Below are 16,214 nucleotides of genomic sequence, written 5' to 3'. Positions count from 1 at the left end.
TCTCAGGATACAAAATCAATGTGCAAAAATCACAAGCATTCTTATACACCAATAACAGACAAACAGCCAAATCATGAGTGAACTCCCCATTCACAATTGCTTCAAAGAGAATAAAATACCTAGGAATCCAACTTACAAGGGATGTGAAGGACCTCTTCAAGGAGAATTACAAACCACTGCTCAACGAAGTAAAAGAGGACACAAATAATTGGAAGAACATTCCATGCTCATGGGTAGGAAGAATCAATATCATGAAAATGGCCATACTGCCCAAGGTAATTTATAGATTCAATGCCATCCCCATCAAGCTACCAATGACCTTATTCACAGAATTGGAAAAAACTAAAGTTCACGTGGAACCAAAAAAGCGCCCACATTTCGAAGACAATCCTAAGCTAAAAGAACAAAGCTGGAGGCATCACGCTACCTGACTTCAAACTACACTACAAGGCTGTAGTAACCAAAACAGCATGGTACTGGTACCAAAACAGAGATATAGACCAATGGAACAGAACAGAGCCCTACACATCTACACATCTACAACCATCTAATCTTTGACAAACCTGAGAAAAACAAGCAATGGGGAAAGGATTCCCTATTTAATAAGTGGTGCTGGGAAAACTGGCTAGCCATATGTAGAAAGCTGAAACTGGATCCCTTCCTTACACCTTATACAAAAATTAATTCAAGATGGATTAAAGACTTAAACGTTAGACCTAAAACCATAAAAACCCTAGAAGAAAACCTAGGCAATACCATTCCGGACATAGGCATGGGCAAGGACTTCATGTCTAAAACACCAAAAGCAATGGCAACAAAAGCCAAAATTGACAAATGGGATCTAATTAAACTAGCTTCTGCACAGCAAAAGAAACTACCATCAGAGTGAACAGGCAACCTACAGAATGGGAGAAAATGTTTGCAATCTACTCATCTGACAAAGGGCTAATATCCAGAATCTACAATGAACTCCAACAAATTTACAAGAAAAAAACAACCCCATCAACACGTGGGCGAAGGACATAAACAGACACTTCTCAAAAGAAGACATTTATGCAGCCAAAAGACACATGAAAAAATGCTCATCATCACTGGCCATCAGAGAAATGCAAATCAAAACCACAATGAGGTACCATTTCACTCCAGTTAGAATGGCGATCATTAAAAAGTCATGAAAAAACAGGTGCTGGAGAGGATGTGGAGAAATAGGAACGCTTCTACACTGTTGGTGGAACTGTAAACTAGTTCATCCATTGTGGAAGAGAGTGGGGCGATTTCTCAAGGATCTAGAGCTAGAAATACCATTTGACCCGGCCATCCCGTTACTGGGTATATACCCAAAGGACTATAAATCATGCTGCTATAAAGACACATGCACACGTATGTTTACTGCAGCACTATTCACAATAGCAAAGACTTGGAACCAACCCAAATGTCCATCAATGATAGACTGGATTAAGAAAATGTGACACATATACACCATGGAATACTATGCAGCCATAAAAAATGATGAGTTCATGTCCTTTGCAGGGACATGGATGAAGCTGGAAACCATCATTCTGAGCAAACTATCGCAAGGACAAAAAACCAAACACCACTTGTTCTCACTCATAGGTGGGAATTGAACAATGAGAACACTTGGACACAGGAAGGGAACATCACACACCAGGGCCTGTTGTGGGGTAGGGGGAGGGGGGAGGGATAGCACTGGGAGACATACCTAGTGTAAATGACGAGTTAATGGGTGCAGCACACCAACATGGTGCATGTATACATATGTAACAAAGCTGCACATTGTGCACATGTACCCTAGAACTTAAAGTATAATAATAAAATAAACAAATAAATAAATAAAATAAAACATATTTCTTTATACAGGGCATTCTTCTCCACTGCAAATAAATCAACAGATGGCATCATTTTTTTAAGATGAATAAAAATCCAACATCCAATCAAAAAAAATCAAAGTTAATAAAACCTATAAATAAACACATGTAATAATGTGTTTTAAGTGCTCTCTAGGAAAATGTACAGGGTACAGTGGAGGCCCAGAGAATAGTGGATGCTATGCTTAGTTCTCCCTATGTGGGTTCAGAAAATACTTTATAACTAGAATGATGCTGACTCTCCAAAGATTAATTCACCAGGCCAATGGGTGAGGGAAGGGAGAGGATGGGTAGGATATTCCAGACAGAACAAGCTATGGAAGCAGACGCTTATGTTGTTTTATTGTTTTTAAGTATACTGTGTATATAATCACAATAACCACCTGCTCATAGAAAAACTTTTCTTGTGGAATTAAATAAACCTTCATGTTGACAGTAGTCTTAAGGTGATTTTTTTTTGTAGACAGTGTCTCGCTCTGTCACCCAGGCTAGAGTACAGCAGTGTGATCATAGCTCACTGCAGCCTCCAACTCCTGAGCTCAAGGGATCATCCTGCCTCAGCCTGCTGAGTAGCTAGGACTACAGACGCAGGCCACCATGCCTGGCTAATTTCTTTAAAATTTATTTTTTGTAGAGATGCAGTCTTGCTATGTTGCCCAGGCTGGTCGCAAACTCCTGGGCTCAAGTGATCCTCCTGCCTCAGCCTCCCAAAGCACTGGGAGTACAGACGTGAGCCACCGTGCCTGGCCCTCATTTGTGCATACTTTCTAGATTGTAAATATAACTTTTTATAATAAAAAATAAACAATAGGTTCCTACACAGTATGATCAAAGAGATGATCTAAATTTTTGATAAAACTAGTGATTTGTAAAGATACCAACCATGCTTGTCATAATGGAACCCCAAAAATGCCGTTAAATGAATGAGTGACTCCACACATGGATGTAGAGGAAGAGCTCATTCCCTTTCCTCTTCATACAAATCTCTCAATGCTACCCTTAGAATGAATAACTAGATTTCCCTGAGCCTAAGAAATCTAAAAGAAGACCAAATGGTGACTTAAAGGGCCATGATGTAGAAGAGGTAGTAGACCTTTTTTCCAAAAGGTAAGTCTTGGCTAAGTGGTTGGCTGCTTTTTTTAAATCACTATGTGGGACAACTGGAGTGTCTAAATTTAGAATTGTGAAATGGTGAATCCCTCTCACTGACAGTATTCAAGCACAGTCTGGAAGACCCTCTAACAGGATGCCATGGAGGGGACCTCAGCATTGGTGTGCAGGAGAGAGGGATTACTTCTCAGATCTGTTAAGATTCTACAACTCTAAAATAGGCTAAATTGATTAAATCATTCAAAAGGAAAGGGATTCATTAATATGAAATTGACCTGGACCAGTGGTTCTCAAAGTGAGACCCCTGGACCAGTATCAGTATCACTTGGGAACTTGTTAGAAATCTTGGGCCCCAAGACAGACCCGCTAAATCAGAAAGTCTGGGGGTGGAGCCCAGCATTCCATGTTTTAACTCACCCTCCGGGTGATTCTGATGCAAATTTGAGAGAACCGCTGCCCTCTACCATCTTCATTTTATTCAGTGAAGCTTATATTGTTGGTATGGCATTCTAACAACTATGCTTTACTTAACATTATTCCTGTGTAGTATTAGTCTTACTCTTTCCAAAACAGATTTCAGCCTTGTCTCTTATGTGACTAGAGTTCTTGTATCTCTTACAGGTGTTGGGAAATCTTCGTTAGTCCATCTCCTATGCCAAAATCAAGTGCTGGGAAATCCATCATGGACTGTGGGCTGCTCAGTGGATGTCAGAGTATGTGTCTTTTATATTTTAGTTTTTCAATAATGTACTAAAGATAACTGCTTCAAATTACATGATCAAATTACAGTACTATGGTCAAGATCAATAGTAATAGCTGGGATTTATTACATTCATACTATGTGCCAGGTACTATGCCAGTTGCTTTACATGTCCCTTCTTATTTCACCTTTTTAAAACTGAGATGTGTAGATGCAGAAACTAAGGCAGAGTCAAGATTTGAACAGTTTTTCTGATGCCACAGACTTCAGTTTTAATCACTATGCCATATATCTAGAGTTCACATAGCATCCTCCGTAAATAATTCTGCCTAAGCTTGTGCTATTAAGACTGCCAACTTTCAGCTAGAAATATAATGTAAAGGCAAAAGCTCCTGGAGCTTCATGTCTGGGTCATTTGTTCCATCTTGTGTTTAGGAATTAGGTATAGTTTTAATTAAATTAAATATCTTCCCAGATATCATTGGTCTTTGCTAATGCCAGCTAGTTCTGACAAGTCTCTCATCTGCTGGCACACCTCTCTCCTTTGAGTTAAGACACACATACGGAAGGCAAGGTAGTTGGCTAGATTGATAGTTATTTTCCTTCTGTTCTTTGAAGCTATTGTTCCATAGCTCTGATTTACATTGCTGCTGATTAGAAATCTTCCGTAAGACTAATTATTATTTCTTTTTAATGTAATTTCTTCTTTGGTTGCTTTTAAAATATTTTTTGTGTTTTTTTTTAATCTTTGATATTTTGTTGTTTTGCTAACCTATGTCTAGGTGTAGATTTGTTTTTATTCATCCTATTCAGAAGTAGTCATGGTTCTCATCTCTTTATTTTTCAGAATTTTAAGCCATTATCTGTCTTGCCTCATTTCTTCTATCCCTTCCTCTTGACTTTCTATGAGATTTTTGTTCTTCATAACTGTTAATATTTCTCCTTGCTGCCTTCTGGATGATGTACTCATATCTGCCTTCCAGTTAACTAAGAATCTCTTCAATTATATCTAATCTGCTTTTTAATATATCTATACAGTTTTTCATTCCAAGTACCTATACTTTTTAATTTCTAGATGTTCCTTTTAGTTCTTTTTAAAATGTAAAAATTTTCCAAAATGTCCTGATCCTTCATTATGGTGTCTGCTTTTTATTTTAATAATTTCCAACATACTTATTTTATGGTTTCTTTTGGATTATTTTATTTTTTCTGGAGGAGAGGTAGCTATGCTCCTTGCTGTATATGCTACTCTACTTCATGGAAATGTATCTCCTTGTATGGCTTGTAATTCTTTAAGATGATCACATCTTCAACAGGATTTTTTTCCTCTCCCTTTGGAAGTCCTGTATGCTGTATTGTGAAAGTATCCCTATACAGCGCCTTTTCATTTCTGTCATTGCCAAGACCGTAAGGATTTCAATTTCTCAGCTCAGATAATGTAAATCTAGATAATGTAAATTCCTCCAGCATCTGATTGTAGCACAGACCTATAGTTTCCATTTCTTGTGGACTATTTATCTTCTGTCTACCTTCTGTCTGAGGTCCCTGACAGAAAGTTTTTGCCGTTTCCCTGAGCCTATGGACAATGTTTTTCTTGTCTTGTCTTCTCTCTTTTCACTGACTGGGCACCTCATCAAAGGTCCGGATTTCAAAAAGGCATCTATAGTCTAGTCTTCATCACTCACTCACATATACTTTTGCCTTGAATGCTGGAAAACAGGTCTGCTATTCCTGAATGGGCATTAAGACTCCAGGCACCAACCCCTGAAGCTATATCTGAATCTATGTCAGTTCCCACTTCTCACTCTGATTTTAAGTTTTTTCTTCATTTCTAGCATTTGGGGATATTCCTTTCTTTCTCCTAACTTTCTCTTGAGCTAGTCTTCTCTGCCTCTCCTCTCTGTACTCTTTCTCTCTGTCTCAAAATATTTTTATAGCATTTCTATAAGTTTGAAGTAGGAGCGGACCTATTTTGTGTCATTTTTTTTTCTTTTTTGTTTATTATTATTATACTTTAAGTTTTAGGGTACATGTGCACAATGTGCAGGTTAGTTACAAATGTATACATGTGCCATGCTAGTGTGCTGCACCCATTAACTCGTCATTTAGCATTAGGTATATCTCCTAATGCTATTTTGTGTCATTTTAGCCAACCATCTTCCTAAATTCAGTGGCAACTTTATTTAGGTTTGGGAGACCCAATAGCAAGTTCTGGACAAATTTTCCCTTTGGATTTTTCTAGCTCCGATTCTGTGAAAGAGCATGACATATTGAAAAGAAACTTAGATTTAAACACTCACCTCCTGAGTCAATTGCCCTTCGCTTCTGAAAGAGTGACCTTAGACTAATCAGTTTACCTCTTTGAGGCATGGTTATATCATCTGGAAAACAGAGGTCAATAATATGTGCTTTATTGAGTCTACAGGTTTGTAGGAAGGATCAGAGAAGCTTAATAAATGGGAAGTTATGGTCTAGTCCTTTACAATGTGAAGTTGTAATTGAACTTTAGTCCAATTTTCTGCCCCTTCCCTTCCTCCTGCCCTACTCCTTTTCCTATCCCCACCCAGTGCCCATTCTATTCATGTTGTTCACCTTTTGTCTTGGTTTTCTTTCCCACTTGTCTTATTGAATTAGCTGAAACTCCAGTACAATGTTGAATAGAAGTGGCACCAACAAGCATCTTTGTTTCATTCCCATCTCATGGGAAATTTTCAGTATAACACTATTTAGTAAAGTATTTGCTGGAGGATTTTTTATGGGTATATTTGATTAGATTAAAGAAATGTCCTTCTATTCCTATTACAATGAGAGTTTGTATCATGAATGGATATTCAATTTTACCAGTTGCCTCTTCATGATAATCATGATTTTTCTGATTTATTCCATTACTGTGGTAAATTATGTTGATTAATTTTTTGAATGTTAAACCAACCTTGCAATCCTGTAATAACTCTAACTTGGTCTTGTGCTGCTCTTTTCATATATCACTAGATTTAATTTGCTAATATTTTTCTTAGACATTTGCATCTAAATTCATTGGAAAGATTGTCCCATCATTTTCTTTTCTTGTAATCTCATTGTGGGTTTTCTATCAGGCTTATGCTAACCTTATAAAATAAGTTGGGAAGTATTAATTTCTGTATCTGTTCTCTGAAAGATTTTATTTAAGATTGGTATTTTTTTTTTCTTAGATATTTGAAAGAATTCACAGGTGAAACCATCTGGACCTAAGTTTTTCTTTGCGGGAAGTTTTTAAGTAACATTAAAGAAAATAATAAAATAACTATATTCCTTCTTGTGTCAATTTTGGTAGTTTATGTTTTTGAAAGAATTTTATGTAAATTGACACAAAAAAATTTTTTCCGTCTTACTGTTTTTCAATAAGATAATTGAACAATATTCCCTTTTTCATTTCTGGTAGAATGATTTGTGGCTTTTCTCTTACTTTCTTGATCAGTCTTACCAGAGGTCCATCAAAGACCAGTTTCTGCCTTGTTGATTTTCTCTATTGTATGTTTGTTTTGTGCATTGTTAGTTTCTGCTCTTATCTTTATGAACATACTTTCTTTGGGTTTAATTTAGTGTCTTCTTTCTAACTTGTTGACATCAGTAATTGCTTAATTTTTTTCAGACTTTTTTTTAGAGCTCTAAGACTCTAAAATTTCTATCTAAGCACAGCGTTAACTGCATTCCTAAAATTTTTTTCATTATTATTCAGTTCAAACTATTGTCTAGTTTCCATTGCAATTTTTTCTTTGACTCATGGGTTGTGTAGAATATGCTTCTCAATTTCCAAACATTTGACAATGTTTATTATCTTTTAATGATTGATTTCAGTTATCTTTCATTGTGCTTAGAGAACATACACTGTATGCTTTCATCCTTTGAAATTTGTTGAGATTTGCTCCATGTCCAGTTTTTTTTATTGTTTTATTTATTTATTTATTTATTTAATTTATTTTTTTGAGATGGAGTCCCACTCTGTTGCTCCGGCTGGAGTGCAGTGGCACGATCTTGGCTCACTGCAACCTCTGCCTCCCGGGTTCAAGCGATTCTCCTCCCTCAGCCTCCTGAGTAGATGGGATTACAGGCACAACACCACCATGGCCGGCTAATTTTTTTGTACTTTTAATAGAGATGGGGTTTTGCCATGTTGGCTAGGCTGGTCTCGAACTCCTGACCTAAGATACTCTGGCCGGGGATTACAGGCATGAGCCACTGTGCCTGGCCCGACTTTTTTTGTTTTATACAGATGGGGTTGCACCGTGTTGCCCCAGCCTAGTCTCCAACTCCTAGGCTCAAGCAATCCTGCAACCTTGGCCTCCCAAAGTGCTGGGATTAGAGGCATAAGCCACCATGCCGGGCCCTAAACTCTTCTTTTGAATAAAAGCACAGATAGCAAACAAAATTAAATTTGAAATAAAGAGGTTTTTTTTTAACAGAAATCAAAAGGCTTATATGTTCTCCACCCCTTGTTATAAAATGCACCTTACCTTGGGCAAGCAAATTCTACCTGTCTTGAAAAAGCAATAGGAAATACTGCTAGTCTCTTCTCTATGAGACAGAAAAACTTTTACCCAGAGGTGTTGAGTAGGCCAGACATGGTGGCTCATGCCTGTAATTCCACTGCTTTGGGAGGCCAGGTGGGAGGATCACCCGAGCCCAAGTTAAAGACCAGCCTGGGCAACATGGTGAGACCCCCGCCTCCATAAAAAAATGTTAAAAAATTTTTTTAATTTAGTTTTTTTCTTTAATTTTTTTATTATACTTTAAGTTTTAGGGTACATGTGCACAACGTGCAGGTTTGTTACATATGTATACATGTGCCATGTTGGTGTGCTGCACCCATTAACTCGTAATTTAACATTAGGTATATCTCCTAATGCTATCCCTCCCCGCTCCCTCCTCCCCACAATAGGCCCCAGTGTGTGATGTTCGCCTTCCTGTGTCCATGTGTTCTCATTGTTCAATTCCCACCTATGAGTGAGAACATGTGGTGTTTGGTTTTTTGTCCTTGCGATAGTTTGCTGAGAATGATGGTTTCCAGCTTCATCCATGTCCCTACAAAGGACATGAACTCATCATTTTTTGTGGCTACATAGTATTCCATGGTGTATATGTGCCACATTTTCTTAATCCACTCTACCATTGATGGACATTTGGGTTGGTTCCAAGTCTTTGCTATTGTGAATAGTGCTGCAGTAAACATACGTGTGCATGTGTCTTTATAGCAGCATGATTTATAATCCTTTGGGTATATACGCAGTAATGGGATGGTTGGGTCAAATGGTATTTCTAGTTCTAGATCCCTGAGGAATCACCACACTGACTTCCACAATGGTTGAACTAGTTTACAGTTCCACCAACAGTGTAGAAGTGTTCCTATTTCTCCACATCCTCTCCAGCACCTGTTGTTTCCTGACTTTTTAATGATTGCCATTCTAATTGGAGTGAAATGGTATCTCAATGTGGTTTTGATTTGCATTTCTCTGATGGCCAGTGATGGTGAGCATTTTTTCATGTGTCTTTTGGCTGCATAAATGTCTTCTTTTGAGAAGTGTCTGTTCATATCCTTCACTCACTTGTTGATGGGGTTGTTTTTTTCTTGTAAATTTGTTGGAGTTCATTGTAGATTCTGGATATTAGCCCTTTGTCAGATGAGTAGATTGCAAACATTTTCTCCCATTCTGTAGGTTGCCTGTTCACTCTGATGGTAGTTTCTTTTGCTGTGCAGAAGCTCTTTAGTTTAATTAGATCCCATTTGTCAATTTTGGCTTTTGTTGCCATTGCCTTTGGTGTTTTAGACATGAAGTCCTTGCCCATGCCTATGTCCTGAATGGTATTGCCTAGGTTTTCTTCTAGGGTTTTTATGGTTTTAGGTCTAACATTTAAGTCTTTAATCCATCTTGAATTAATTTTTGTATAAGGTGTCAGGAAGGGATCCAGTTTCAGCTTTCTAAATATGGCTAGCCAGTTTTCCCAGCACCATTTATTAATTAGGGAATCCTTTCCCCATTTCTTGTTTTTGTCAGATTTGTCAAAGATCAGATGTTGTAGTTATGTGGCATTATTTCTGAGGGCTCTGTTCTGTTCCATTGGCCTATATGTCTGTTTTGGCACCAGTACCATGCTGTTTTGGTTACTGTAGCCTTGTAGTATAGTTTGAAGTCAGGTAGCGTGATGCCTCCAGCTTTGTCCTTTTGGCATAGGATTGACTTGGCAATGTGGGCTCTTTTTTGGTTCCATATGAACTTTAAAGTAGTTTTTTTCCAATTCTGTGAAGAAAGTCATTGGTAGCTTGATGGGGATGGCATTGAATCTATAAATTACCTTGGGCAGTATGGCCATTTTCATGATATTGATTCTGCCTACCCATGAGCATGGAATGTTCTTCCATTTGTTTGTGTCCTCTTTTACTTCGTTGAGCAGTGGTTTGTAATTCTCCTTGAAGAGGTCCTTCACATCCCTTGTAAGTTGGATTCCTAGGTATTTTATTCTCTTTGAAGCAATTGTGAATGGGAGTTCACTCATGATTTGGCTCTCTTTTTGTCTGTTATTAGTGTATGAGAATGCTTGTGATTTTTGCACATTGATTTTGTATCCTGAGACCTTGCTGAAGTAGCTTATCAGCTTAAGGAGATTTTGGGCTGAGACGATGGGGTTTTCTGGATATACTATCATGTCATCTGCAAACAGGGACAATTTGACTTCCTCTTTTCCTAATTGAATACCCTTTATTTCCTTCTCCTGCCTGATTGCCCTGGCCAGAACTTCCAACACTATGTTGAATAGGAGTGGTGAGAGAGGGCATCCCTGTCTTGTGCCAGTTTTCAAAGGGAATGCTTCCAGTTTTTGCCCATTCAGTATGATATTGGCTGTGGGTTTGTCATAGATAGCTCTTATTATTTTGAGATATGTCCCATCAATACCTAATTTATTGAGAGTTTTTAGCATGAAGGGTTGTTGAATTTTGTCAAAGGTTTTTTCTGCATCTATTGACATAATCATGTGATTTTTGTCATTGGTTCTGTTTATATGCTGGATTACGTTTATTGATTTGCGTATGTTGAACCAGCCTTCCATCCCAGGGATGAAGCCCACTTGATCATGGTGGATAAGCTTTTTGATGTGCTGCTGGATTCGGTTTGCCAGTATTTTATTGAGGATTTTTGCATTGCTGTTCCTCAGGGATATTGGTCAAAAATTCTCTTTTTTTGTTGTGTCTCTGCCAGGCTTTGGTATCAGGATGATGCTGGCCTCATAAAATGAGTTAGGGAGGATTCCCCCTTTTTCTATTGATTGGAATAGTTTCAGAAGGAATGGTACCAGCTCCTCCTTGTACCTCTGGTGGAATTTGGCTGTGAATCCATCTGGTCCTGGACTTTTTTTGCTTGGTAAGCTATTAATTGTTGCCCCAATTTCCTAGCCTGTTATTGGTCTATTCAGAGGTTCAACTTCTTCCTGGTTTAGTCTTGGGAGGGTGTATGTGTCCAGGAATTTATCCATTTCTTCTAGATTTTCTAGTTTATTTGCGTACAGGTGTTTTTAGTATTCTCCGATGGTAGTTTGTATTTCTGTGGGATCGGTGGTGATATCCCCTTTATCATTTTTTATTGCATCTATTTGATTCTTCTGTCTTTTCTTCTTCATTAGTGTTGCTAGCGGTCTATCAATTTTGTTGATCTTTTCAAAAAACCAGCTCCTGGATTCATTGATTTTTTGAAGAGTTTTTTGTATCATTATTTCCTTCAGTTCTGCTCTGATCTTAGTTATTTCTTGCCTTCTGCTAGCTTTTGAATGTGTTTGCTCTTGCTTCTCTAGTTCTTTTAATTGTGATGTTAGGGTGTCAATTTTAGATCTTTCCTGCTTTCTCTTGTGGGCATTTAGTGCTATAAATTTCCCTCTACACACTGCTTTGAATGTGTCCCAGAGATTCTGGTATGTTGTGTCTTTGTTCTCGTTGGTTTCAAAGAACATCTTTTATTTCTGCCTTCATTTCGTTATGTACCCAGTAGTCATTCAGGAGCAGGTTGTTCAGTTCCCATGTAGTTGAGCGGTTTTGAGTTTCCATTTCTTTGGCATCTGTGATGCTAGTGTTAGCCAGTTTTGTTGTAAGTGTTAGAAAGAGGACACATAGAACTAGGAAGCTGAATAGGAAGATGATTATAATGGCGTGATCATGGAAGGCGATTAGCTCTTCTGTTATAGGGGATGTGGCATCTTGAAGGCCTAGTTGGGCTGCGTGTGCCATTAAGATATATGGGACTTAACCTGTAACTTAACTTTGACAAAGTTATGAAATAATTTTTCTAATATCTTGTTGAAAAAGTCATAGAGGTTATGAGGTTGGCTTGAAACCAGTTTTAGGGGGTTGGATTCCTTCCTTTTTCGTCTAGGTTTTATGTAGACTGGTTCTTCAAACGTATGGTAGGGTGGAGGGCAGCCACATAACCACTCTAAGTTAGTGGAAGGTTGTTCAATTATTAGAACTTTCCATTTTGAAGCAAAGGCCTCTCAGGTTATGAAAATTATTAATATTACTGCTGTTAAGGAGATGAATGAGCCTACAGATGATAAAATATTTCACGTGGTATATGCGTCGGGGTAGTCAGAATAACATCGGGGTATTCCAGATAAGCTGAGAATGTGCTGTGGGAAGAAGGTTAGATTTACGCCTACGAGTATGTTTCTTAATCCTGAGTTCTCGTTTGATTGCACTGTGGTCTGAGAGACAGTTTGTTATAATTTCTGTTCTTTTACATTTGCTGAGGATTGCTTTGCTTCCAACTGTGTGGTCAGTTTTGGAATAGGTGTGGTGTGGTGCTGAAAAGAATGTATATTCTGTTGACTTGGGATGGAGAGTTCTGTAGATATCTATTAGGTCCGCTTGGTGCAGAGCTGAGTTCAATTCCTGGATATCCTTGTTAACTTTCTGTCTCATTGATCTGTCTAATGTTGACAGTGGTGTGTTAAAGTCTCCCATTATTATTGTGTGGGAGTCTAAGTGTCTTTGTAGGTCTCTAAGGACTTGCTTTATGAATCTGGGTGCTCCTGTATTGGGTGCATATATGTTTAGGATAGTTAGCTGTTCTTGTTGAATTGATCCCTTTACCATTATGTAATGGCCTTCTTTGTCTCTTTTGATCTTTGTTGGTTTAAAGTCTGTTTTATCAGAGACTAGGATTGCAACCCCTGCCTTTTTTTGTTTTCCATTTGCTCAGTAGATGTTCTTCCATCCCTTTATTTTGAGCCTATGTGTGTCTCTGCACATGAGATGGGTTTCCTGAATACAGCACACTGATGGGTCTTGACAATTTGCCAGTCTGTGTCTTTTAATTGGAGCATTTAGCCCACTTACAATTTAAGGTTAATATTGTTATGTGTGAATTTGATCCTGTCATTATAATGTTAGCTGGTTATTTTGCTCGTTAGTTGATGCAGTTTCTTCCTAGCCTCGATGGTCTTTACGCTTTGGCATGTTTTTGCAGTGGCTGGTACCGGTTGTTCCTTTCCATATTTAGTGCTTCCTTCAGGAACTCTTTTAGGGCAGGCCTGGTGGTGACAGAATCTCTCAGCATTTGCTTATCTGTAAAGTATTTTATTTCTCCTTCGCTTATGAAGCTTAGTTTGGCTGGATATGAAATTCTGGGTTGAAAATTCTTTTCTTTAAGAATGTTGAATATTGGCCCCCACTCTGTTCTGGCTTGTAGAGTTTCTGCCAAGAGATCAGCTGTTAGTCTGATGTGCTTCCCTTTGTGGGTAACCTGACTTTTCTCTCTGGCTGCCCTTAACATTTTTTCCTTCATTTCAACTTTGGTGAATCTGACAATTATGTGTCTTGGAGTTGCTCTTCTCGAGGAGTCTCTTTGTGGCGTTCTCTGTATTTCCTGAATTTGAATGTTGGCCTGCCTTGCTAGATTGGGGAAGTTCTCCTAGATAATATCCTGCAGAGTGTTTTCCAACTTGGTTCCATTCTCCCTGTCACTTTCAGGTAGACCAGTCAGACATAGATTTGGTCTTTTCACGTAGTCCCATATTTCTTGGAGGCTTTGTTCCTTTCTTTTTATTCTTTTTTCTCTAAAATTATCTTCTCGCTTCATTTCATTCATTTGATCTTCCATCGCTGATACCCTTTCTTCCAATTGATTGAATCGACTACTGAGGCTTGTGCATTCGTCACGTAGTTCTCATGCCGTGGTTTTCAGCTCCATCAGGTCCTTTAAGGACTTGTCTGTGTTGATTATTCTAGTTAGCCTTTCATCTAATCTTTTTCCAAGGTTTTTAACTTCTTTGCCTTGGGTTCGAACTTCCTCCTTTAGCTCTGAGTAGTTTGATCGTCTGAAGCCTTCTTCTCTCAAATCATCAAAGTCATTCTCCATCCAGCTTTGCTCCATTGTCGGTGATGAGCTGCGTTCCTTTGGAGGAGGAGAGGCACTCTGATTTTCAGAATTTTCAGCTTTTCTGCTCTGTTTTTTCCCCATCTTTGTGGTTTTATCTACCTTTGGTCTTTGATGATGGTGATGTACAGATGAGGTTTTGGTGAGGATGTCCTTTCTGTTTGTTAGTTTTCCTTCTAACAGTCAGGACCCTCAGCTGCAGATCTGTTGGAGTTTGCTGGAGGTCCGCTCCAGACCCTGTTTGCCTGGGTATCACCAGCGGAGGCTATAGAATGGCGGATATTGGTGAACAGCAAATGTTGCTGCCTGATTGTTCCTCTGGAAGTTTTGTCTCAGAGGAGTACCTGGCCGTGTGAGGTGTCAGTCTGCCCCTACTGGGGGGTGTCTCTCAGTTAGGCTACTCGGGGGTCAGGGACCCACTTGAGGAGGCAGTCTGTCCATTCTCAGATCTCAAGCTGCATGCTGGGAGAACCACTACTCTCTTCAAAGCTGTCAGACAGGGACATTTAAGTCTGCAGAGGTTTCTGGCTATGCCCTGCCCCCAGAGGTGGAGTCTACAGAGGCAGGCAGGCCTCCTTGAGCTGCGGTGGGCTCCACCCAGTTCGAGCTTCCTGGCTGCTTTGTTTACCTACTCAAGCCTTGGCAATGGTGGGTGCCCCTCCCCCAGCCTGGCTGCTGCCTTGCAGTTTGCTCTCAGACTGCTGTGCTAGCAATGAGCGAGGCTTCGTGGGCGTAGGACCCTTCGAGCCAGGAGCGAGATACAATCTTCTGGTGTGCCTTTTGCTAAGACCGTTGGAAAAGCGCAGTATTAGGGTGAGAGTGACCCAATTTTCCAGGTGCCATCTGTCACCGCTTCCCTTGGCTAGGAAGGGGAATTCCCTGACCCCTTGCGCTTCCCAGGTGAGGCGATGCCTCGCCTTGCTTCGACTCACACTCGGTGCGCTGTGCCCACTGTCCTGCACCCACTGTCTGGCACTCCCCAGTGAGATGAACCCAGTACCTCAGTTGGAAATGCAGGAATCATTTGTCTTCTGTGTCGCTCACGCTGGGAGCTGTAGACTGGAGCTGTTCCTATTCGGCCATCCTGGCTCCACCCTCCCCACGTCCAGTTTTATGGTCAATTTTGATAAAAATTTCATATGCACTTGAAAACAAAGTATATTTTGTAATTGTTGGGTGCAGTGTTCTAAATATGTGTTAATCATTTGTTAAATCTTCTCCATCTCTGTTGGGTGGGTTTTTTTGGTCTGTTTTTTTCATCAATTGCTAAGGAATAAGTATTATAATCTCCAACAGTAAGTGTGAATTTGTCTATTCCTCATTTTAATCCTGTCCATTTTTCATTTATATACTTTGAGATTATATTACTAGGTGAGTACTAATTTATGATTGTTTGAACTTCCTAAAGGATTTAACATTTTGTTATTTTAATATGTCCCTCCCTATATCTGGTAATACATTGTACCTCGAAGACTATTTTGTCTGATATTAAAATAGTTAAAGCCAACTTATTTTTAGTTAGTGTTTGTGTGGTTTACCTTATTTACATATTTCAACTTTCATCTTTCTGTGTCCTAATATCTATGGGATGTCTCTTATAAGTAAGATATAGCTAAATTTTGTTTTGATGACCAGTCTGACAGTCTTAGTATTTTTATTTGATTCTTGGGCCTTGCCCCCAGATATTCTGACTCAGAGTTGATTGGTGCCCAAGCATCTGCATTTTAAGAAGCATCTTGATGATTCTCTTATAGGTGAATAATGCCTTGAGAAATACTGGGTAAGGAGTGCAATCATATTGCCAAGTGGATATCAAAGTGTTTAATGACAGGACTTATAGAGCAGAGGTATAAGACTAAGAATGAGATGCTAATAGGAAGCTAGTACATATTAACGATAAGACAAGGAGGGAGGGGAGTATAGCTGATGGTCCAGAGCATCTAAAGAAGGCAGATTTTTAATATAAGGGTAGAGGAGTAATGCACTAGAAGTAGCTTTGGAGTGTTAGCAAGGCATTTCCTATTTTCTGAACTCCAAGGTAATTAGAATATTGAAAAGTGAACAGCATCTATCTGAGAGGACATAAGGAGAAGTTGTGTTTTCAAGGTAGAGGCGGAGATT

General features: G+C 39.1%; 1 protein-coding gene and 2 pseudogenes across 4 annotated transcripts in view, besides 2 other annotated features; 1 reads left to right on the top strand and 2 right to left on the bottom strand.

Moving 5' to 3' along the window:
- The window catches only part of RABL3 (RAB, member of RAS oncogene family like 3), a 57,743-nt gene that overhangs the window by 8,276 nt on the left and 33,253 nt on the right, over nt 1–16,214 (top strand). For all 4 annotated transcript variants that reach the window (NR_157022.1, NM_173825.5, NM_001363964.1 and 1 more), the window contains one exon: nt 3,618–3,709. Coding sequence is in view for 3 of the 4 variants with exons in the window: in NM_173825.5 (NP_776186.2) it covers nt 3,618–3,709 (92 nt within the window). In the remaining variant the exon portion in view is untranslated. The remainder of the gene's footprint in view (nt 1–3,617; nt 3,710–16,214) is intronic.
- On the bottom strand, nt 11,759–11,947 carry MTCO2P29 (MT-CO2 pseudogene 29; annotated as a pseudogene).
- Nucleotides 12,094–12,381, bottom strand: MTCO1P29 (MT-CO1 pseudogene 29; annotated as a pseudogene).
- Nucleotides 14,365–14,924: an enhancer, noted in NCBI's record as "NANOG-H3K27ac-H3K4me1 hESC enhancer chr3:120438328-120438887 (GRCh37/hg19 assembly coordinates)". NCBI's record gives its function as "activates a minimal SCP1, AML or CMV promoter by ChIP-STARR-seq in naive H9 embryonic stem cells {active_cell/tissue: H9 hESC(naive)}" and the evidence as "EXISTENCE:reporter gene assay evidence [ECO:0000049][PMID:30033119]".
- Nucleotides 14,680–14,829: an enhancer, noted in NCBI's record as "active region_20336". NCBI's record gives its function as "activates an Ori minimal core promoter by ATAC-STARR-seq in GM12878 lymphoblastoid cells {active_cell/tissue: GM12878}" and the evidence as "EXISTENCE:reporter gene assay evidence [ECO:0000049][PMID:35858748]".

This window comes from Homo sapiens, chromosome 3 (genome assembly GCF_000001405.40).
Source record: "Homo sapiens chromosome 3, GRCh38.p14 Primary Assembly".
Lineage (NCBI taxonomy): Eukaryota > Metazoa > Chordata > Mammalia > Primates > Hominidae > Homo > Homo sapiens.
Note: the sequence above shows the minus strand (reverse complement) of the source record. Positions and strands in the feature narration are given on the sequence as shown.